This window comes from Homo sapiens, chromosome 12 (genome assembly GCF_000001405.40).
Source record: "Homo sapiens chromosome 12, GRCh38.p14 Primary Assembly".
Classification (NCBI taxonomy): domain Eukaryota; kingdom Metazoa; phylum Chordata; class Mammalia; order Primates; family Hominidae; genus Homo; species Homo sapiens.
The window spans coordinates 130,187,098-130,210,717 of NC_000012.12; the positions used below are offsets into that span (position 1 = coordinate 130,187,098).

Here is a 23,620-nt window from a genome sequence, read left to right on the forward strand (position 1 = left end):
CAAGCCCTCGCCTTAGTCATTGATGGATACGCTCTGTAAATCTAAAGCCAGACGGCTCTTCTCACCCACTTCCTGCTCCTGCTTTTCTAACTGGAGGGGAAAAAAAAGAGAAAAGAACCAATGGGAAATAAAGGTAACAGAAAGGAAAACCAACTAAACCACGTTAAAAGATGGAATTATTTGACAGAAGATTTTAAATTACTTACACTACAGGGGTTGTTTTTCGGTAGAAAGCGACTACTTTATAAAATTAAAAAAACTGTTTAAATATAAATAAGACAAAAGGAGAAAGTAAAAATCACTCAAAATTCCTTCACCCAGAGATAACATTAACATTGCTGTGTTTCTGTTTACTTTGCACATAATTTTTTAAAATGACAATGTATTTTTTATCCTTTTGAGTGAAATCTGTGCTCTCATCTTGGAGGATTTCCTTGGGACCAATTCCTCTAAGTAGAATTCCTAGGTTCAATGCTGTGGACTGTTTTTTCTATAAAGGCGATGCTTGGTATAGAAACAGTCTCATCTGATTGCCCTCCAGAATGGATGAGCTACTTTTACGCTTTCCACTAATAGCAGAGGAGATTTTTGCAGAGAATATGAAAGTCTTGGTGCTCGTAAATATTTTGTTTTTGTTTTTGTTTTTGAGACAGAGTCTCACTCTGTCGCCCAGACTGGAGTGCACTGGTGCGATCTCAGTTCACTGCAGCCTCTACCTCCCGGGTTCAAGTGATTCTTCTGCCTCAGCCTCCAGAGTAGCTGGGATTACAGGCACCTGCCACCACACCTGGCTAATTTTTGTATTTTAGTAGCAATGGGGTTTTGCCATGTTGGCCAGGCTGGTCTCAAACTCCTGACCTCAGGTGATCCTCCTGCCTCGGCATACCAAAGTGCTAGATTATAGGTGTGAACCACCACGCCTGGCCTAGCTTGTAAATATTTTAATGAAAATTCTCATTAGGCCACCTCAGTACTGTCGTAGTTATCTAAGAATCTTCCCATGGTCCTTAGAATATGTTCTTCCGAAGGCACGTTCCTTCTGCTGTCCTTGTAATCTCCAGACACAGGACAGGCCCCAGCAGCCTGAACTGGGCCTGTGCACCCTGGACCATGTGTAGCCCTTTCCTCCCCGGCACCTGTCCTTCCCCATCCTCTTTGGGTTCCCCTGCATGCGGGAAGTGTGCCCCGGCACCTGGTTTCCTCAGATATACGGCCTGGAAACCACGTGCCCATCAGAATTTCAGCCACAGTCCCCCGTAGATATAACCACCATCTTCCAAACTTCATGTCCAAAAGACAAAGAATGAAAAGTAAAGGTGTTTATTTTGGTGATTTTTTTTCTCATTCCTAAGGTAATATGTATTTGCATGGAAAATTGCAGCATAGAGAATACAGCTGTCATCTGATAACATTTCTAGATTTCTATTGTGCATGTCTACATAGATTTATCATTTTTACCAACATGGGTTCATGTCACCATTCTCTTTTATAATATTTCCACTTGATATTATATATTATAAACCTTATTCCATGCCAATTAACAGACAACTATATGCCATTATTTTAGATGGCTTTAATGTATTCCATAATACAATTTCTGTAGTTTATCAAATGAATCTCTCACTAGTAGGTGTTCAGGTTGCTTTCTTTCTTTTTTCTTCTCTAAATATAAAGGGTATTACTGTACACGCAGCTGTTATGAGCTTGTGGGATTATTCCCGAGCAGAATTGCTGGGGTCAAAGAGTTAGAGCATTACTAAAGCTTCATGTTCGAATTGTCAGATGCCCTCGAGAAGGATGAATCAATCTGAACCCTCACTGGCCGTGTATATGAACTCCACCTGCCTCACAGCCTCTTAACATTGGTTCTTAACTGTATTTTTTCCATTTTTCCCAGTGCTTATGGCATCTTTTAATTTGCAAGGCTTTGCTCAGTAAAGAGGATGAACATCTTTTCATTTGTTTATAAATTATTGGCTTTTCTACTTTTGAATCATTTGCTTGACTTTTGCCCATTTTTCTACTGAAGCGTTTATTTTTTCTTACTGATTTAACAAAGCTACTATGCATCATAAGTCATTTTCCCAGTTTTCTTTGTCACTTTATTTTGTTTAAGGTCTTTTTGTTACAGAATATATTTTATTTTGCATGGAGTTAAGTCAATCCATTTTTTCCCATATTAGTTCTGCCTCCAGTGTCCTGAATATAAAGTCTTCTAGTAACTATATCTTTTTCTAATGTTTTAACAATTTTATTCTTTATGTTTAAAATACTAAAAAAAAATTTGGTGTAATGTTGTTGTAGTTACAGGAAATATAATTTGAATTTTTCCCAAATTGTTGTTCTATTATTTCAAAAGTATTATCTCAATTTCAAATGGTGACACATGTAAATATATTTCCATACTTAGTTTCTGAATTTTCGACTCAATTCCAATATTTTTTTACCACTACATCAATAATACATTGCTTTAATTTTATAATAGCTACTTATTTTGGTAATTCGAGTACCTCTTTTATTCATTCAACAACCTTTATTTGGCATCTACAATGTGCTAAGCTCTATACGAGACCCTAGGGGAAAATGAGGGGAAGTGACCCCTCCTCATTACTCTTCTCTTTACATATTTTTATTACCCTCGTGCATGTATTTTTAAGGTGAAACTTAAAACTTCTTTTGTCAGATAATCTCATGGGACTTTTGAATACTAAAGGGTGTTCTCTCTATTCATTTGGATAATACTGAGAACCTTATTCAGTCTTCCTAAAGAACGTGGAAACCTACAGCGGGCTTCACGTGTGCTGCAGAGAAGCGTTTGGTTCTCTTCCTGCTTTAATACATTATTTGAAAGTTGAACATCGTGTATTTCTTAAATATATTTATAAATTCTTTTGGTTTCTTTACTCATTGATTTGTTTATTTCAATGTCTTTCTCCTTTTTACTTCAATTATTTTTCTTATTTGCATGTATACCTCATTTTATAGTAGTATATTCCTTAGAGATATGTAGGTGTGTATACGATTTTGGTATATGATATGATTTTGATATATTAAGTCAATTCTTGACTTAAATATGTCTTTCATTTTTCTCTGAGCTTTCTTTTTTTAAATATTAAACTCATTTAGGGTGATACAAATGTTTATGAGCAACAGCATATCCTATAAGTTTTAGTATTCTGTAATTGTTTTTCTTACATCTGCAATTGAAATGTCTATTTCCTGTTTACTTAGGAGATCTTTTAGAAGGTGAGTTTTTAATGTTAGAAAACTGAGTTTCTCATTTAAACTTTCATAGTGTGCTTCTGCCGTGGTCAGAAAGCAAGGACCCGGCCGGAAGCCTATTGAAAGGTATTAGGGTTTAAGTAGTTTACAACCATTGTGGAAGACAGTGTGGTGATTCCTCAGGGATCTAGAACTAGAAATACCATTTGACCCAGCCATCCCATTACTGGGTATACACCCAAAGGATTATAAATCATGCTGCTATAAAGACACATGCACACGTATGTTTATTGTGGCACTATTCACAATAGCAAAGACTTGGAATCAACCCAAATGTTCATCAATGATAGACGGGATTAAGAAAATGTTGCACATATACAACATGGAATACTATGCAGCCATAAAAAGGATGAGTTCATGTCCTTCGTAGGGACATGGATGAAGCTGGAAACCAGCATTCTCAGCAAACTATGGCAAGGACAAAAAACCAAACATCACATGTTCTCACTCATAGGTGAGAACTGAACATTGAGAACACTTGGACACAGGGTGTGGAACGTCACACACCAGGGACTGTCGTGGGGCGGGGGCAGAGGGGAGGGATAGCTTTAGGAGATATACCTAATGTAAATGATGAGTTAATGGGTGCAGCACACCAACATGGCACATGTATACATGTGTAACAAACCTGCACGTTGTGCATATGTACCCTAGAACTTAAAGTATAATAATAATAAAAAAAAGAAAGGTATTAGGGTTGTCTTTGTGTCTAATCTATCGTTTTTGTAGTTGGTCCCCAGGTGGCTTAATAAAGGATCTATTTGCTGGAGGGTACAAAGCTATGACAATGGGCTGTGGTCAGGCCGAGTTTTAAGCACTGGGTGTTTTCTCCTTTCCCCTGTCTCCTAGTGCTCCACAGGGAAGTCTGGAAAAGTCCCTGGGGGCTGTGCCAGATACCATTCTGAACAAAAGGCTTAGCAGAAGGAAGCAGAAATGGCTTTGCCCCTGGCATGGGTCTGTGCATCCCGTCAGTGCCTTAATGAGAAAACGGGGAGGCAGGAGCAAGGGAGTATGAATGAAAGCACTAGAATAGTCACCTACCATTCTCATCAGAGCAGCTACCACCATTTAAATACCTGCACCCATGCCATGCTGTCCTTCCAGGGGATGACCATGTGATGAGGCTGACAGTGCCTGTCCCTGGGGCATCTCATGGGGATCCTCTGGACCAAGATCTGCACCTGTGATAAAGAAGAGTCAGAAATGACTGATTGTGTGTGTGTGTGTGTGTGTAGACATGTATTCATGAGTATGTATGTGTATATGTGTATGCATGCATGGGTGTATGTGTGTGTTTATGTGGGTGGTGTGTATGTACATGTATGTGTGTGATGTATACACGCATGGGTGTATGTGCTGTTCTAGTGCTGTGTATATGTATGTGTATATATGTGTATGTATGTGCTTACATGTATTTATATGTGTGTTTATGTATATGTATATGGTGCATGTGTAATGCATGCATATGTGTATGTGCACGTGTATAAGGTGTGAATGTGTGTGTATGTGTGTGTTTATATGTATTTATGTGTTTATGGTACATATGTATATACATGCATGTGTGTCTGTATGTATAAGGTGTAAATATGTGTGTGAATGTGTGTGTATGCGTGTATATTTATGTGTGTATGTGTTCATGTGTGTATATGGTGCGTATGTATATGCGTGTGTGTTTGTGTGCATGTATATGGTGTGTGTGTGTGTGTGTATGCGTGTGTTTATGTGCATATGTGTATATGGAGGTTGGTAGTGGTGGTATTATAAGCAGAGTACATCGAATCAAAGGGTTTCTGGATCCCTAGGTGTATGTAGACTGGCACTTCTCAAACTTTGGGTCCTGGGACCCTTTTACAGTTGTAGAAATTATTGGAGATCCCAAAGAGCTTTAGTTCATGGAGAACATATCACCTACCTTGTTAGAATTTAACGCTGACAGTTTTAAAAATATTTGTTTAAAAATAACGATAATGATACCTTTGCATGTTATCACAAATAACATCTTTCTCATGAAAACTAATTATACTTTCCAAAGCAAAAGTATTAGAAGAGTGGCGTTGTTTCTGATGTGTGCATGCCTCCTTCATGTCTGGCATCATCAAAGACAACTGGATTTCATCTCTGTGTCTGTGGTGTTATCTCAGGTCACGTGGGCTCTAGAAAACTCTGCTGCACTCCTGGAAGAAGGAGAGTGAAAAAAACGTCTAACATCCCACAAAATGGTCTTGGGGACCTCCAGGGGTCCCCAGCTCACCCTTTGAGAACCTCTTTTATTTTTTATATTTAAATTCTTTTCAGAATTATTTTGACATAATACTGGTGTCGTTGTAGGAGCAGCCAACAATCTGACAGATTTTCATAAACATGAGGGGCTGAGGCATTGCGGCCATGCAGCTGGGCCTGGGTGGGGGAGTCACACGCATGCTGATGGCTCAGAAATGAAGCGAGACCCGGCGGAGACCCCGAGTCACATGCAGCCAGCCAGCACAGACAGGCCCACAACTCTTTCCACTCTCCTGGGAGTGAGCAGCGGGATCCAGGGCTGTTCTTGCATTTTCCTGTATTTCAGTGAGGATACAGGCAAAGCTGCTGAAGGAGACACCACAGGACAAGGACAGAAACATCTGACTTTATTGTTTTCCCCGCCTGTAACATACAGAGGTATGTCGGCCAGGGCTGGCAGGTGCTTCTGCTCTACGAGGCTGTCCAGGGAACCAGGTTCCCGCCGTGTTGTTGCCCCTCCATTCCCTAGTGTGCCGCTCTCGCCCTCCTGTGGTAGCTGTTCACCAGCACCCATGGGCATTACACCAGCAGGAAGGGGGAAGGGAAATAGAGGGTGCAGGGCGGACCAGCTCCTCCTTAAAGGAGGATTCCAGGGAGCTGCTCGCCTCCCTGTGTGTCCCCGCACCAGGCTGCAAGCGAGATTGTGGCTGCAGGCACTAGCCAGGTGTTCCTCTTACAACCCAGGAGGCTCTGTTTCCATAAAGAAGGGAATGACCAATTCTGGGAAAGTCTCTGGCTCATCTTGGGACTCTCTGCATCTTAGTTATTCCATGAGCTTTGTCTTTTTTTTTTTTTTGAGACCAAGTCTCACTTTGTCGCCCAGGCTGGAGTGCAGTGGTGCAATTTCGGCTCACTGCAGCCTCCGCCGCCTGGGTTCAAGCGAGTCTCCTGCCTCAGCCTCGCGAGTAGCTGGGGTTACAGGCACCTGCCACCACACCTGGCTAATTTTTGTATTTTTAGTAGAGGCGGAGTTTCACCATGTTGGCCAGGCTGGTCTCGAGCTCCTGACCTCAGGCGATCCACCCACCTCGGCCTCCCAAAGCACTGGGATTACAGGTGTGAGCCACCGCGCCTGGCCCGTCTTCATCCTTTCTACCCTGAGTCCATGGCAACTAGCCCTGGAGCAGGCAAGGGTGACAGGATATGGGCGCTCTGTCTTTGGAGAGACAACTAATTTCCTTGGCAGTCTTCCTCTTTAGATGACTTTATCAGGAGTAGCTAGATAAATCTGGCTGTTCAATAAGCATCTTCTAGAAGTTTCTCAATGGACAAAGGATTCCTATTTGGTCTGCTTTGTTTGGATTCGTTTTGGTCTCCTTATTTGGTCTCTGGGACCTTTGACCTGATGTAGGTAAAATGTGGATTCTGGTGCAGTCAACCAACACCGCATGCCATTTTGAAAGCCAAGCCAAGCAAAACCCCGAACAATACAAGACAAAAAATACCCCCTCCAAACCCTAGAGAGTCCCATTTGAAATCCTTGGGGGCTGAGGTGACTCCCATTTTGATGTATTGTGTGGACTGACCAGCATCTCACATGTAGGAGCTTTCTGGGGGCTGTGGCTCCCGGGGTCCTGTGGGAAGAATAGTGAGGTGCACACAATGCAACGGGATCCTTAGGGCTATTTTTGTCACAATGAATCCGCGGGAGGCAGCAGCTTTGTCCTGACCCACTTCCTTCTCGCAAGTGTGCTCACAGCCTGAAGAGAGCGTTGGGAAGGATTTTCTGTTAGCATCCAGCTTGCTTCCCCACTTCCCTGCGACTGTCTGGGGGGAGAGGCTGCCTGGATTTTTGCATTTGCATTTCGGGACATGTTGCAGATATTCTCCACACCTGAATGCCGTGTCCATCTGTCGGCTTCTGCAGGCTCACACTCCTGTCACCTCCAAATCATGTTTCCCCATCTACGTCGTTATCGTCAGCTTAACTCCTTCAATGCAATATTCATTTCAGTTAGCAAGACACAGAATAACTGTGGACAAGGAGTTCAGGTGTTAAGAAAGAGGAGAGGGCCGGGCATGGTGGCTCACGCCTGTAATCCCAGCACTTTGGGAGGCCGAGACAGGTGGATCACTTGAGGTCAGGAGTTCGAGACCAGTCTGACCCACATGGTGAAACCCCATCTCTACTAAAAATACAAATGAGCCAGGCGTGGTGGCAGGTACCTGTAATCCCAGCTACGTGGGAGGCTGAGGCAGGAGAATCACTTGAACCCAGGAGGTAGAGGTTGCCGTGAGTTGAGATCACTCCACTGCACTCCAGCCTGGGAGACAAAGCGAGACTCCATCTCAAGAAAAATAAAAGGAGAGGAAGACAAGAAAGAGTGGGTAAGAAATAGTGTGGTGCTGTCTTCTCTAAACAGCCAATCTTAGTGGATATACAGCATGAATCCTATGCATGCAGGAAAAGCTAACATTCTGATAGAAATCTGATTGTTCAGGAATCCATAGAAAGTATAAACCCCGGAAAACAGGAGGAGCCCGAGGATGTTGTATAGTTCGTGCTGCTGTCTCTGAACAAAACTGTATCCAACATTTAAATGCTGCCACTTTCAAGAAATACTCAAAAGACAGAACTCCATAGCTAATCTTGGTCAATGTGCTCCAGGGTTTTGAGCCCACGTTATTGATAAGTTCTTCCAAATGTATATTACCTTGTTTCAATTTTCATAATCAGTGGTAACAAGGGACCTTTCCTAATATGTTATTTGACCAGCTGTAAGATGGTTATTAGGCATCCAGATCCTTCGTATTAGTTATTTCTCAAACTTTTTCTCTCTGTTTTTTGAGACAGGGTTTTGCTCTGTTGCCCAGGCTGGAATGCAGTGGCATGACCACGGCTCACTGCAGCTTCAACTTCCCGGGCTCAACCAATCCTCCCACCTCAGCCTCCTGAGGAGCTGGGACTACAGGCATGCCTGGCTAATTTTTATATTTTCTGTAGGGATGGGATTTTGCCATATTGCCCTGACCAGTCTAAAACTCCTGGAGTCCAGCGATCCTCCCGCCTTGGCCTCCCAAAGTGTCGGGATTACAGATATGAGCCACTGCACCCGGCCTCAAACTTTTTCAATCAATGAGCTACTTTAGACATCTAAGGAATCCTCCCCACCTCGTGTTATGATTAAAAAATCATCATCAATGAGAAGGCTGATGCTTTTGATGTGTGTTTTATTAAATATCATAAATGATTAATTCCGGCCAGCACTGGAGGTATGGAAACTCTTGAAAACGTGACCTTGGCAGATGTGCTGCTGCGGTGAGAAGACGGCCAGGGTGGATTTGCACATCATGGGAAGGACCGTCACCCTGTGCTCTGTGGCGGACACCCTCCTTGTCACACCGGGAGTTCTTCCTCAGAGCCACAGTCCACACAGCAGGGGTCCCTGCATCCTGTCCTGCACACGCGGTTGCGTATCTGCACCGAGATGAGAGGATAAACAGGCTGAGGCTGACTGCATTGGTTTTTGTAATAGCAAAGAATCGGAAATAAACCAGATTTTCACAAGTGGTTTGCACACTGTTTTGTATTAGGGTAAAGCCATTAAAAGGAATAGCGAGGGGCTGTGTGCATGCTGGTGGAAAGGTCTCCAGGACACACAGTAAGGGGCAAAGAGCAAGGAGCAGAATGTAAATAAACACGACTGTGTTTCTGCAGAAAAACCATGTGCTCATTCACTTGTACAAATACTCAGAATATTCTGAGTATTTTCCAAAATGAAAGGCCACACCTAGAAGTCTCGTGAATGGTTATTTTCCAGGACAGACAGTGAAGATCAATCGACATGGGACTGACGGACGTGGCTTTGCATCTTAATCTCTGTATTTTCTTTTATCTATGACTTTTGTAATACAGAAATAAACAGCTTATAAATGAGGGGAAAGCAGGAATCATATTTTACCAAAAAAAAACCTTCTGAGGCAGCTGAGGAAAACTGAACGCAGTCTGGGTCTTATAGGACATTGCTGAATTACTGATGCTTTTCTGAACATGACAACGGTAGTGTGGTGTGTTTCAAAAAGTCTTCTTAGGTGATAAATACACACTAATGTATGTATAAGTAAAATGATAGGATTATGCTTTCAAAAACTCTATGCATATATAAAAATTAATTTTGCAATGATTTAATAGGTAACTTTTTAAGATGACCAAATAACAAAGATCTATAGTTTCTTTATTGGGGGAGTAGGAAGAGCCCGTGGTCGTGTGGGAGGGCCAGCCAGGTGTGGCTGCAGCTTCCGAGTTCTCTAACTTGACATCCAGACACTGGGTGAGAGTGGGGGAGATGGAGGGCCCCTGGGATGCAGAATGTGGGGAGGAACCGGGAGTGAGGGTCGCCCCAGTCTGCAGATCCCACTGCGCCCTTCCTCACGCATGGCGCCTGGGATTCCTGCTCGCCTCTCCCTGCAGGGCTCTGCCTCCTAGTGTTTAAACGTTGACAACTAATGCAGCTGTGTGAGTGTGTGTGTTTGTATGTGATACGAATGTGTGCACCTGCGTCCGCTGTGTGATATGAACATGTGTGCCTGTTTGTGGATGTGTGTATGGGCCTCTGTGTGTGTGAGAGTGAGGGTGTGTATGGGTAAGTATTTGCATATATGAATGTGTGTGTATATGAGTATGAATGTGTTTGCCTGTGTTTGTGTGTATGAGAGTGTGTGTGTGTTTTGTATACCAGTATGAATGTGTGTGCATCTGTGTATGTGAGTGTGAGAGAGTGGGAAGTGGGTGTGTGTGTGTGTGTATATGAGTGTGTATGCAGGTGTGTGTGTATATGAATGTGTGCATGTTTTTATGTATGTGAGTATAAATATGTGTGCCTGTGTCTATGTATGTATGTGTGTGTGGGTGCGTGAGTGTGAGAGTGTGTGGGCATGTGTTTTTGTGAACGGTGCGTGGGTTCGTGTATGTGAGTGCGGATGTGTGTAAAAGTGTGTGTGAGCATGTTTGTGTATGTGAATGTGAGAGTCTGTGTGTGTATCTGTGGTGAAGACTAACATATCTGAAGGCAATTGGGCCTGAGGTGATCTGTGTGATTTCTGATGTGAAAGAGCACCTGCGAGGGGTCTTCCCCAGCCGCCCCTGGCAGGAGATCCCAGCCGCAGAGGGCTCAGGGCTGTCCAGAGCTTGAAACAGAACCCATTGATCTCATTACAAGAGGCGGAGGGAGAGTCACGCAAGATAACCTTGAGGTTGGGTTGTTCGTATCTCAAGTCTCTTAGAAGGCATTCTTTGCTTGTTTAAATATCCTCTTTCAACAGAAAATGACTCTTCCATGGAGGCCCCTACCATATTTGAGCTACTCATGTTTGCACCACCTAATCAGATGCAAGTCTAAATAAACATATATATATATATATTTAATATACATCGACAGAGAGCACAGTCCCAACATTGAAACGCTTCTGTCACCCCTTATGTAATTTCAGACCTGAGGCACCTAGGCCTGTGCTGGGTAAACCTCAGATGCAGAAAGGCCTGGAAGGAGAAAGGCGTGTTCGTTTTCAGGAGAGACCTGGAACTCGAGCAGATGCCAGGGGAATCACAGCACAGCTTGACGCAGGTAAGCTGGGCCCTGGGCCCAGTGCAGGGAGGAAGATGCTGGGGGTTCTCATACACCATTCAGATTCTTTTGCTTCCAAGTGTGTTCCCTGCTCTCTGCACCCCTCCTCCCTGCAGAGCATGAGATGCAGGAGCTGCTGGGATGCCGTGGGAGCGCCTCGGGCTTGCTTTGAGAGAGTGGTTCCCAAGCTTGAGCATCCGAACATCCCGGGGGTGCTGGCTAGAACACAGGATGCCAGCCCCAGCTTGGAGTGCCCCAGTCAGGAGGTCTGGGAGGGACCCGGAAATGTGCACCTGTCACAAGAGCCCAGGCGATGTTGGGGCCGCAGGTCCGTGAGCCGCACTCTGGGAGCTGCTGGCCTCGCGAGATGTGCCTGGATTTCAGATCACCCCAGGGACAGGCAGGCAGCTTCTGGCTTTCAGGAAAATCACAGTTTGGGTTTTGTATCTCTTGCTTGTATGCAACACATCTACAAAATTAAGGTTTTTAAAAAATTGTGGCAAAATACCCAAAATGCAGTAACACAAACTTTACCACCTTACCCCCTGTGAGTCTACGACTCAGTCATGTTCAGCGCACACACGTGGCTGTGCAACCATCACGCCGTGCTGCCCCCGCACGCTTTCTGCTTGCACGGCTAAAGCTCTGTGCCCAGTATGCGCCAACACCTCGTCCCCACCTCCCATCCCGTCCCTGAAGCCATCGTTCCACTCTCTGTCTATATGCATTTAATTAAGTCTGTAGTTCACTATGTTTTGGGCAAAGTCGTGGTCACAGTGAGACCTGAGGCTGATCCCACGGAGGAGACGGGCAGGTGACTGTGTTAACTTACGTGACAGTGTAGCAATCAAACAGCTGCCTCGTGAGAGACGAAGGGGTGGTAAGAGGCTCAGCCAGGTAGTTTCTCTTCCTCCTCCTCCTCTTCCTCTTTAACTTCAGGCTAGGAAAATGCTGTGGGTGGAGCCACTCTGGGAAGGTGAAAAGCCTTTTACCCCCAGGTTGCCTCAGTAAGAGGTTCCCGCTGCGGCACTTTAAAGCCCCGTAGACGTGTCTGAATTTATAACACACTCTTGAAGTATTCACTCAGAATCCTGAAGGGATTTTCAAAGCCACCAAGAGGATGGAGAACTTGTGGCCAGCTCAGGTGTAGGGAAAAACTTCTAGGAGGGCTGCCTGTTCAATGGTATTAAACAGACTTTTGGGAAGACGGCGCCAGTAGCCACAGACCCGGAAAACTCGTGGGCACTGAATTCAGATTAGCAGGTGTTTGTTGTGTGTTAACTCTCTACGAAGCACAGACACAGTGGGAGAGAAACCTTCTGAGGTGCATGGGGCTCGGTCAGTGATCGGAGTCAGAGGAACATCAGATAACCAGCTTTTCCCTCGTGTCATAGGGATGTGGAGGACCCTCTGTGTGCAGGGCCCTCTGCTGAGCACGGCTGCCCAGTGGCTTCCCCTGTGGGAAGCGGAGAGGCGGGCACTCGGTCACAATGATAAGAACCTCCTCCTAGCGAGGGCTGCTGTGGCCAGGCTGCACTGGGAGTGGTTTCCTTATGTTCTGTAGTGGAAACAGATCATTACAAAAGAACAAGGTTTGTGACCGCTGGAAATATGAATGAGGTCTTATGAAGACATCAAAGAGGAATTCCTAGCCCAGGCCGGGGAGGGTGGGATGGGCTGCTGAGTGGAGACGGTGCTGGAGTGAAGAGGCAGAGGACGGAAAGGAGTATGCAGGCCTAAGAGGAAATTCATCCCACCGACATGCATCCAGAAAGCTATTGAGTGTCCCTCCCTGCCAGGCACAGGCCTAGCCCCGGGGATAAACGACTGAACACAACCTGCTGTCATGAGCTTGTGTTCTTGGGGGAGGAGGTGGTAGCAATAAACAGGGTGGGATGTAACATGGGTTTGCTTTGAGAGAGTTGTCCCCAAGCTTGAGCATCAGAACATCCTGGGAGTGCTGGCTGGAACACAGGATGCCAGCCCCAGCCCCAAGCACCCGAGTCGGGAGGTCTGGGAGGGACCCAGAAATGTGCACCTGTCACAAGAGCCCAGACGATGTTGGTGCCGCAGGTCCGTGAGCCACACTCTGGGAGCTGCTGCTCTCAGGTGATGTGCCTGCATTTCAGATTGCCCCAGGGACAAGCAGGCAGCTTCTGACTTACAGGAAAAGCACAGTTTGAGCTTTTAACACATAGGATATGTTCGTGATAAGTGTGAAAACTATAAAGAAAGAGAATAGCAAAACTATGGTTGGGCTATTGCAATTTTACATAGGATTGCAAGAGAAGGCATCATGGAGAAAGTGGGATTGGAGTAAAACTCTAAAGGATGTGATGACATGAGTCATGGCACATCAGGGAATGGTTTTCCAGACAAAGACCAGACGTGCAAAGGTCCTGGGGCAGGGGCTCCCTGGGAAGCTCAACGTGAGCAACCACAGTGTGGCCACAGCAGAATGAATGTGAGGGAGAGGACGGAGATGCGGTCCTGATGAGGACAGGGAACACGCCACGCTGAGGCTTCTTGGCCACTGAAGGCTCTCTGAGTTTCCTTTGAGTGAGATGGGAACTACCGAGGTTTTATGAGCAGAAGATGGGTGTGGCTTGACTAATGTTTTCATAGTCTCTCTCTGGCTGCAATGGGGAATGAAACTGAAGGGGAGAAGTGGTGGCAGGAGAGACACCAGCCAGGAGGTGGCTGCCCCAACCAGGTACGGAAAATGGTGGGTGAAACTGAGGTGTAAGCAATGGTGTGAGTGGGAAGTAATTGGATGGGGACCGTACTTTGAAGACAGAGCTGATAAGATTGAACGGCCAATAGGAGGTGGAATTTGAGGCAAGAGCGATGTCAGGAATGACTCCAGGGTTTTTGGCCAAGCCAGCCTGAGGCAGGAGTGGCCATCTCCCCTCTCATTGTGAAGCGGGTCAGAGCAGGAGGTGAGAAAATGAGAATTCATTCTAGGCAGACCAAATGACAGTTGCAAAACAAAGTAACCATGGAGTGTGTGTGGGGAGCTGCCAGCCCCTGGAGACCCCAAGGAAGGGTATGGGGTGGATGAGACCAGACAGGGATGGGTGCACACGAAGAAGCTAGGAAGCCTCCTCCCGCAGCATCCGCGCATCCAGAGTTTGGCGTTTTGTGGGCAGGTTTGGCTGGCAGAAGCTATGCAAGGGTTCAGGGATGCTGCTGGGAGAATACCATATTTCACTTCATCCAAGACATCACTTGTAAATTCGGTCATTATTTTGTATCCTTCTAAGAAAGAAATTATGTTAAGACTTACATTATGGTGGGTTACTGTTGTGTCACTTAGAGTTTGCCCTTTATGCATATTACATGCATATTAAAGGTGCCCTTCCACACTTAGACATAGAGATTCATACCCTGCATCTCTCCATGCATGCAGAAAAGAAAGGCACAAAATTAATTGGTTCAGATTTTGCAAACGTCTTCACATTCAGAGTTTGACTCCTCTGAAATACTTTGAGACTAGAATCACCCATGTTCAGGTTTTCAATCTACCTGGGAACTACATGTGCTCATGAGCGACAGGGAAGGCTGCCTTCTCTGGAAGAGTCCCCCACCATTGTCTCGATGGCCCTTCTGCATTGTTGAAGCTGCTGCATACTTTATCTCTGTCAACGTCTTAGGGAAGGCCAATATGTCACTATTGCTGCTGGATGTGATCTGTTGCCAGGCACATCCTGATATCAGAAATGTTAAGATGTATTTAAAAGCTCTGTTTCGGAACCAATGACATAGGAGAGAATTTGGGCCATCATTCTAATCTTTCACCTTGAGGTTGGAGATAATTTATACCCAGAATAACATTATGAAAGCCCCAAAAGACAGGGGAAGGAGTTGGGCTGACAAGTTTCCCAGGTGGAATTATTCCAGGTGGTGCCAAGACCCAGCATGTGTCCCAGGTGTGGGTGACTGGAGTGAGGTAAGATGTCAACCAGTGGAGTGAAAGAGGGTCAAGTTCTGAGCTGTGGCTGTTGGCAGGGAGTCTGTATGGATGTTTAAACCTCCTGGGACTATGGCAGGACATGGGATGGAGGCTTCAGCAGTGCCCTGGGGCTGCTATAACAAAACACCACAAACTGGGTGGCTTAGAACAACAGGAATTTGTTCTCACAGCATTCTGGAAGCTGGAAGTCTGAAACCAGTGTGGCAGGGTTGGCTCCTCCCAGTGGGCCTGGCTTCTGGGGTCCCTGGCAATCCTCGAGGTTCTGTGGCTCGCACAGGCATCACTCCAGGCTCTGCCTCCGTTGCCACGTGGACTTCTCCTCTGTGTGTCTCTGTGTGTCCTTGCCTCGTATAAAGACGCCAGTCATTTGGATTTAGGACAGACCCTAATCCAGCATGAGTTCAGCTTGCTTTAACATGTTTGCAAAGATTGTTTCCAAATAAGATCACATTCTGAGGTTACAGGGGGACATAGTTTGGGGGCACACTATTTAACCCAGTACAGAGAAGAAGATTGAGCCAGCTCCCTGAGTTACGCATGGATAGGGAGGGGTGGACAAGAGGCTGGTCAATGGCAGGGGTGAGGAGAGGAGGGACTTCTCTCTGGGGAACACATTCAAGAGGACATCACAGAAATGTCCCTGCCCACTTTGTGTTGCTGCTGATCTCCTGGCCCAAGATGCACCCTAGCCTGGCCTGACAGCATACACTTTTACAAACAGCTTCCTGGCTGTTTGCAGCCAGGAAGATGAGAGGAGGATGGGGCTGGAGCAAACCCTGTGGGCCGCAGGGCAGGAGGGTGGGGCAACCTCACAGGACCTCCCTGTTGATGGTTTTGGCCCTCAATGTCCCACCAACACCCTCCCAGCACTTTTGTCCTATCCCCTCGGTAACCTCTAGGCCTCCAGAGCCTGGGAGCTCTTGGGTGCCCTGGCGTCCGCTCCAGTCCTTGCCCACTGCCCACTCCAATGGATGTGGTATTTCTGACCTTCCCTGATTCCTGGGCCATCATCACGCAGAAACAGCTCCAGCTCAGCATCCCTTTGGCAGAGCCCCAGGCACACTTTCCGCCCCAAGATAAAATCAAACATCAAAGGAGTATGAAATTTCACACGAGGGCGGAAGAGTGCTGGTCTGGAATTGGCAGTGGAGGCCAAGGGAAAGGCTCACTCCTGTTGTCACTGGACTGGGAGTCGGGACAAATGGCCCCGTGTGGAAGCCGGGGGAATGACCTCATCTCCTGAGGCCACAGTTCTCCGTCCATGAATCCAAGAGCCTGGCTTAGGGGACCGACCGTGAGGGCACCTTCATGTCCCAAACTCTCCAAGTTTAAAAACGGGCAGGCAAGGGAGCATTCCACAGCCATTTCTGATTCCTTGTTTCTCTTTTACAAAAAGTGTTCTTTCGCATTATGGCTTTTATTCCTCACCTTATCGTTGAAATAGTTCCCAAATCTATAATTCTTCTGCAAACCATAACAGCTTAATGAATTCTACCAGAAAGAGAAAGCAACCAGTTTATTACAGACACATTAACCTTCATCTGTGATGCAGCTTCTATTCTGTTGCATGCTGGCACCACTTGAGAGCTTTAAGATACACACGTAGTGCGGGGAATAATGAAATAATGACCCCGCAGGCATCCAGGTCCTGATCCACAGAACCGAAGACTATGTTAGATCGCAGGCAACGGCGGCAGGTCGGCTGACCTGAAGTGGGAAGAGGATCTGGGATTATCCAGGTGGACCCGATGTCATCACGGGGTCTTTAAGTGGAAAAGAAGGCAAGGTGGAGGGTGGTTAGGGAAGAAATGTCAGAAGGATGTGATATGAGGGCCCACCCGCCTTTGCTGGCTTGAGACAGAGGAAGGTGCCCCAACCCAAGGAATTATGGAAGTCTCTAGAAGCTGAACAAGCTGCAGAAATAGATTTTCCTCCAGAAAGGAATGCAGACTGCTGAAACTTTGAGTTTAGCCCAGCAAGACCTGTTTTGGGCTTACAACCCTCAGAACTGCGAGATAATGAATCTGTGGAGTTTTGTTGTTGTTTTCGTTTGTGTGTGTGTGTGGTTTTTTTTTTTTTTTTTTTTGAGATGGAGTTTCAATCTTGTCACCCAGCCTGGAGTGCAATAGCGCAATCTCAGCTCACTGCAACCTCCACCTCCCGGGTTCAAGTGATTCCTCTACCTCAGCCTCTTGAGTAGCTGGGATCACAGGCATACGCCACCACACCCAGCAAGTTTTTATATTTTTGGTAGAGATGGGGTTTCACCATGTTGGCCAGGCTGGTCTCCAGCTCCCGACCTCAGGTGATCCACCCGCCTTGGCCTCCCCAAGGGCTGGGATTATAGGCCTGAGCCACCGGGCCCAGCCCAGTGTTGTTTTAAGTGACTAAATTTGTGGTGACTTGTTACAGGCTGGGTAGGAAACTGATGCAATAGTAATGCTTGAGCCCCACCCCAGACCAATTAAATCAGGGTCTCTGGGCGGTGAGGCCTCCGGTGACGCTAATACCCAGCCAGAGGCCGCTGGTGAAATGCTGCAACATTTATTTCGTAACTATTCCTGACCTCCAATAAGCTCGGCAACCCGGTAGGAGCGGATTTCCTTGTCTGTAGAATGAAAGGTGGAGAAAGTTCATCAACTGACCTCGTCTGAACTTCTACTGAGGGTGAGGATGGGACAGGCGTGTGTGATAGAGAATGCACAAGGGTTCCTGCCATGGCAAGGTGTTCATCTGTGAAGGCTGTGGTGACCGGGGTTACTGACAAATTCAGATGCTTACGAGGAAGAAATCAATTCCAGACAGATCAAAGCCGAGTGTGGAAACCTCCCCATTACCAGAAGCAGCCAGCTCAGCTCCCATGAAATAGCGAGGAGGGGAGTGCATTCCTTAGGGCCTCTTCCAGTGGCCATGGCCATTTTATCACCTAAGTTTATGGAGGGCGGGAGGGAAGTGATTCGTTTGCATGAGCACGCAGGGCAGCATCAGAGCTATCTTGGGGGCCAGCACTCTGGGAAGGCTGCCGCAATGAGGATCTCCCCATTTCCCAGCTCTGCTCCCAGCGCTGATGCTCTCTTGGGCTCCAGGAAGACTCAAGTTACCCAAAGCTCCGGCCCTGACAGCCTGAAGCCTCCCGCCCAGCAGAAAAGACAGGACCCTTTCCCCAGACATCGCAGAAAAAGCCTCATGGCAGCTGACTGGTTCTAATCTAGTCCCACAACCATCCCTAGATCAATTGCTGTGACCAGGAGAACACTCATGGAGCCATGTCTAGTCCAACGGCCACATCCTGAGAAGGGGACAGGCCCCTGACAACAGGGGCCGAGCCTCATCTTTGGGTTACAGCCATAGGAGATGAGCTTGAAACCAGAAGGAGCTGCTGATGAAAACATTCTGAGATCCCTTTGATCTTGCTGAGCTTGAAGAGGCTGTGGTTCTCCCGATATCCCACACCCAGGCCCACACATGGCTGGCGTGAAGGACAAATTGGTCTGTCTGTCAGTCACCTTCATGCTTCCTCCCAAGCTGACCCACCCACGCCCAGCCTGCCAACAGCTGTAGAGTCAGGGTGAGGCCGGGAAGCTGTTTGCAAAGGTGTGTGCTGTCAGGCCAGGCTAGGGTGCATCGTGGGCCAGGAGATCAGCAGCAACACAAAGTGGGCAGGGACATTTCTGTGATGTCCTCTTGAATGTGTTCCCCAGAGGAAGTCCCATCCGTAAAGCCAGATTCAAGAAGTTCTTGTTTTTAAAGCTCAAAGGACCCCATCTGGCCTCTGAAAAGTCTTAAAACATCTGAAAGCTTAAAGTGCTGCCTAGTGGTGTCCCTGGAGGCGGACGGTGAGGTGGTGGTAGAGTGTGGCCTGACTTCTGTGAGGATCCCTGTGGTGAACCTCTGCAGAGAGGACAGGTGGGCCAGGGAGCAGGCAGAGGGAGAAGTCAGCCTCACCCACGGGACCCAGGACAGCCACAACCCACCCCACAGAGCATTCTGGAGCTAGAACTATCCCTAGTAGGGTTGAGTTGGGTGGTTCTCTATATTCCCTTATGGATCTGTCCCTGGATCGTGGAATGTTTGTCACTGTTGTTTAATTGTAAGAGCTCTTTATATATTCTGGATATTAATCCTTTCTCAGACATATGACTTTCAAATATTTTCTCCCATTTTGTGAGTTGTCTTTTCACTGTATTGGCAAGCACCTTTGATGATGCATAAAAGGTTTTAATTTTTACGAAGTCCTTGTTTTGTTTTGGATGATGCTGTTACTCACGTTATTATCACACACGGTACTGCAAGACAGGAAATCAGTGCATCCTCCCAGCCTGTAGCAAAGAAAAAGACCCAAGTCCCAGGCCCAAGCTGATCAGCATATTCTGTCCCCTATGCACTGTGAGTGGTATGGAGATGGGCAAGGACCCAGTTTGTCCCAGTGAGGTTCAGTCCAGAACTTTTCTTAGAATGACTGGGGAGAAAGATTTACCTACCTACCTCTGAGGCTAAGAGCAAGTTAGGAACTTCTGGAAGCCATCTGGTCACCATGAGAGGAGGGCGTAATAGAGAGAGGAAGGCAGGGAGAGAGAAGGTGTGCATGTGAGTGTGTGATTGATTGATTATGTGCATTGGTAATCGATAACCTACCCATGCCGCCTTACCCCAACTTGAGTTGTGCTTTCTTTCTTCTTTCACTTGCAACAAAAAGAGCTGGATGGATACAGAAGTTACTTTGGAAGTCTTTTAGTGCCCGCTCTATTGAACAGAAGAGGGAACTGAGGCCCAGGGAGGGGAGCCCCAATATCTGATACATTTCATCAGGAACTATTAAAGGTCTCTTGCAAGAAGCACATCTGTTCAAATATTTGCATGGGCCTTCCTTGTGAGACAAAATCTTTGTCTTGATTTTGCTCTCACCTCCTGTGCTAGGAGAAGGGACACCTTGGGATTCCTTGTTCTCAAAAAAGAAAACTAAGGAAGAAATCACAGAGGGCCCCTGATATGGTTTGGCTGTGTCCCCACCCAAATCTCACTTTGAATTGTAAAAATCCCCATGTGTCAAGGGCAGGACCAGGTGGAGATAAGTGAATCATGGGGGTGGTTTCCCCCATACTGTTCTCGTGGTAGTGAATAAGTCTCAGATCTGATGGTTCTATGGGAGTTCCCCTGCACAAGCTCTCTTGCCTGCTGCCATGTAAGATGTGACTTTGCTCCTCATTCGTCTTCTGCCATGATTGTGAGGCCTCCCCAGCCATGTGGAACTGTGAGCCCATTAAACGTTTTTTCTTTATAAATTACCCAGTCTCGAGTATGTCTTTATGAGCAGTGTGAGACCAGCCTAATACAGCCCCCAAGTCAGTAAGGGAACCAGGTTCTATATAAAAGACCAAACAAAATTCATACCTGAAACTTACCTTGAAACAATTTTCAGAGTTCAGAGAAATAAAACAAGGTTTACACATTTTTGGACAAATTTATATGGGGTAGAAAGTGAAAGATTTCTTCCCACACTAACACATTTCTTTATATCCCTGCAGAATTTTTCCTTTGTTTATTTAAATAAAAGTCAACATAATATGCATATTTTTCTGCAACTTGCTTTAAAAGTTAACAATATACTGTGACTGTTTTTCCAGGGCAGAATATGCCAAATCAACTACATTCTTTTTAATAGATCCATGTTTCAATTTCATTCAGTGAACACCAAGGTTGTTTTGATTTTTGTTATTACAAACTACTCTGCCCATACATCCTTAGGCATAGAAAGCTGTAAATCTGGGGTTAGGTACAGAATCACTTCCAAAAGTAAGAGGTCTAGACAGAAGTTTATTGTCCTGATTGCAGACTCTCTCTTGTGCTGTTGAGTGACCTGTGTGGGCATCTCTCAATATATTTATTGTTTGGGTGTTTTTGATATCTGCTAAAATATGTCTTCCTCATAATACTTCCTATTTGAACATATTTTTAGCTATTCTCTTGCATTTTTCTCTTCAAGTAACCTTTAATAAATATGACATGTTAATAAATGCTTCATTAAAATATTGATTGGATATACCCTAAATTTATTAATTTACGACTTCACGCTATTGAGTTTTCTTTTATCCTTTTCAGTATAGTCTTATAATTTCATTCAGAGAGAGATCAAATACATGGGTAAGAATTTTATTTCTTCTTTTCACTGTTTTTAACTATTACTTTCTTCCTTACCTCATTGAATTAACTAGCAAGCCCAGAACAATGTTGAAAAACCCTGGTACCAGCAGATAGCACTGCCTTTCATGTTTCACCAATTTATCTAATGTTTACTAGTTATTGTTATATATCTTTTACCGTTAGAACTTCCTTCTGTCAATAGCCAAGGGAAAGCAGTAATAATTATCAAGTTTCCTCAGAATTTTTCCCATTTAATGATTGAATCATAATTTTTATCCTTCAACCTATTGTAGTAGTTAGCCTTCAATAAAATGCCCAATAATTCTCAAATCCTGGCATTCACACACCATGAAGTCCCCTCCCTCATCGTATAGGGCTGACCTGTGTAATCAATAGACGATGTGGAATAACAGAGTGTGAATTCCAGAGCTAGGCCATAAAATATCTCGAATTACTTGCTATGGGAGAATCAGCTGCCATGTTGTGAGGATGCTCAAAGAGTCCTAAAAGGTCCACATGGCCAGGAACTGAGGCCTCCAGCCAACAGCCATGGGTGCCTTCCAAGGCTGCCATCTTGGAAGCCAGTCTTCTGCCCCATTTAAGCCTTCAGATGACTGCAGCCCCATCAACTTCTTGACTGCAACTTCTTGAAAGGCACTCTAAGCTACAGCCACCTAAGTTGCTCTGGGTACATAACGGAAACTGTGATTAAATACATATCTATTGTGTTAAGCTGCTAAGGTTTGAGGTGATTTGTTATGCAATGGTAGATAACTAATGCACATACTAATTGATTTTTAAAAGTTTTCCGATGTTATTTCATCCTTTTATTATTGGAAGAAAAATAGTTTAGTCATGGTATATTATTCTTTAATACACCGATGGATTCAATTTGTTGATAGTAAATTTTGAGTTTTATTATTCTTATTTGCAAAAGTGATTAAACTCAATCTGTATTTCTTAACCTGTTTGTCAAGAACCGTAATTCTGGAAGTTTAATTGGAGCTCTGACAAAGGCAATTCTATTAAACCACTCTGGGAAGCATCTGTGTAATGAATGCCCCTCTTGGAGATTTACAATGCTCGTTAGTGCAGTGTTTTTACCACCTGAATCCAAATTACCTAGGTATCTGTTAAATTCAGATATTCAGGCTTTATTCAATAAAAATCTGTGATTTGGGTTTGGAAACCTGCATTTTAACAAGCTTTACCAGGGATTCTTACGCACACAAAAATTTTAAAGCTGTATCTTAATATATTAAAGGTTCTGGGAAGTTCAACAGTTGAAAAAACAAACCCTTAATGGTAAACAAGTTCATTTATGAGGGAAGGGTTTTTTCTCCATTTGTTAGATACATTTCTAAAAATATTAGTTTGGGTTTATAGTTGTATGTTTTAAATATACATATAATACTGTTAATTAGATTTTGGTGTCAGAATTTTATCAGTCTTGTAGAATATACTAGAAAATTTTCTGTGTTTTTTTCTAGGCTTCAGGATAGTTTAAATCATAGACGATTTATCTGTTCCTAGAGGGTCGGATGGTAAATTTTTGACATCCTTCTCATTTTTAAATAATTATTATCCAGATTTTCTACTTCTTTATTTAACTCTGGTAATTATTCCTTTCATCCAGATAAGGATTCATTCATACCTTCATACCTCTTGGTATGAGGGTATACATGGCATTCTCTAAGTTTTATAAATCTCTGCCATATCACTAAGTATTTTGTCTTATTTCTATCATGAACAATTTAGTTTTTCTCTCTCTCTTGTTCTCACTCTTGCTCTCGCTCAAGTTTGCCAAGAGATTTATCTATCTTAATCTATTCAAAGCTATGGTTCTTTACTTTATCAATTCTGTTTTTTATTCCTTAATTTTTTTCTATACAACTAATTTGTTTTCCATTTCACCTATTTTATTCATTAATTTCTTATTTTTTCTTAGCTTCTTCAGTTAAATATTTAATTCATTTGTTTTTAGCCACTTTATTAATAATAAGAGGATGTTCAGTCCAGGAATTTTCCCCTGATTACAGGTTGGGCCACATTCTGGTTTTTGTTGTTATTGCTATTGCTTGTTTTTTTTTTTTTTAACCTTCATCTTAAAGTTTAAATATGTGTGAAATACACACATAATTAAGAGTATCCAGTGCTTATAATTTAAGAAGCATCCCTTTTCCTCTCTCATACGGCCCCACGACTCCATGTTTGCTTTCCCAGGAGAAAGCATGCTGGATTGTTGCAGCTCTCTCTGGTCCATTTCCATTTTAAAAAGGTGTTTTCAGCATTACATCATGATATAGTATTAGTTTTAGACATTATCTGTTGACTGCCTGTTAGAAGAAACTATAGTCTCTTTTGTATGTGGCCCCTGCCT

The 23,620-nt window shown here is 44.8% G+C and overlaps 5 annotated features.

Annotated features, from left to right (window-relative positions):
- Window positions 3,903-4,072: an enhancer, noted in NCBI's record as "experimental_25764 CRE fragment used in MPRA reporter constructs". NCBI's record gives its function as "activates a minimal promoter by MPRAs in K562 erythroleukemia cells, with activity observed for the non-introgressed 12:130675630 variant allele {active_cell/tissue: K562}" and the evidence as "EXISTENCE:reporter gene assay evidence [ECO:0000049][PMID:34662402]".
- Window positions 5,837-6,337: an enhancer, noted in NCBI's record as "H3K4me1 hESC enhancer chr12:130677479-130677979 (GRCh37/hg19 assembly coordinates)". NCBI's record gives its function as "activates a minimal SCP1, AML or CMV promoter by ChIP-STARR-seq in naive H9 embryonic stem cells {active_cell/tissue: H9 hESC(naive)}" and the evidence as "EXISTENCE:reporter gene assay evidence [ECO:0000049][PMID:30033119]".
- Window positions 6,119-6,288: an enhancer, noted in NCBI's record as "experimental_25769 CRE fragment used in MPRA reporter constructs". NCBI's record gives its function as "activates a minimal promoter by MPRAs in K562 erythroleukemia cells, with activity observed for both the introgressed and non-introgressed 12:130677846 variant alleles {active_cell/tissue: K562}" and the evidence as "EXISTENCE:reporter gene assay evidence [ECO:0000049][PMID:34662402]".
- Window positions 8,867-9,161: a silencer, noted in NCBI's record as "tiled region #11699; K562 Repressive non-DNase unmatched - State 21:Repr". NCBI's record gives its function as "represses a minimal TATA promoter and a strong SV40 promoter by Sharpr-MPRA in K562 cells {active_cell/tissue: K562}" and the evidence as "EXISTENCE:reporter gene assay evidence [ECO:0000049][PMID:27701403]".
- Window positions 11,086-11,586: an enhancer, noted in NCBI's record as "H3K4me1 hESC enhancer chr12:130682728-130683228 (GRCh37/hg19 assembly coordinates)". NCBI's record gives its function as "activates a minimal SCP1, AML or CMV promoter by ChIP-STARR-seq in primed H9 embryonic stem cells {active_cell/tissue: H9 hESC(primed)}" and the evidence as "EXISTENCE:reporter gene assay evidence [ECO:0000049][PMID:30033119]".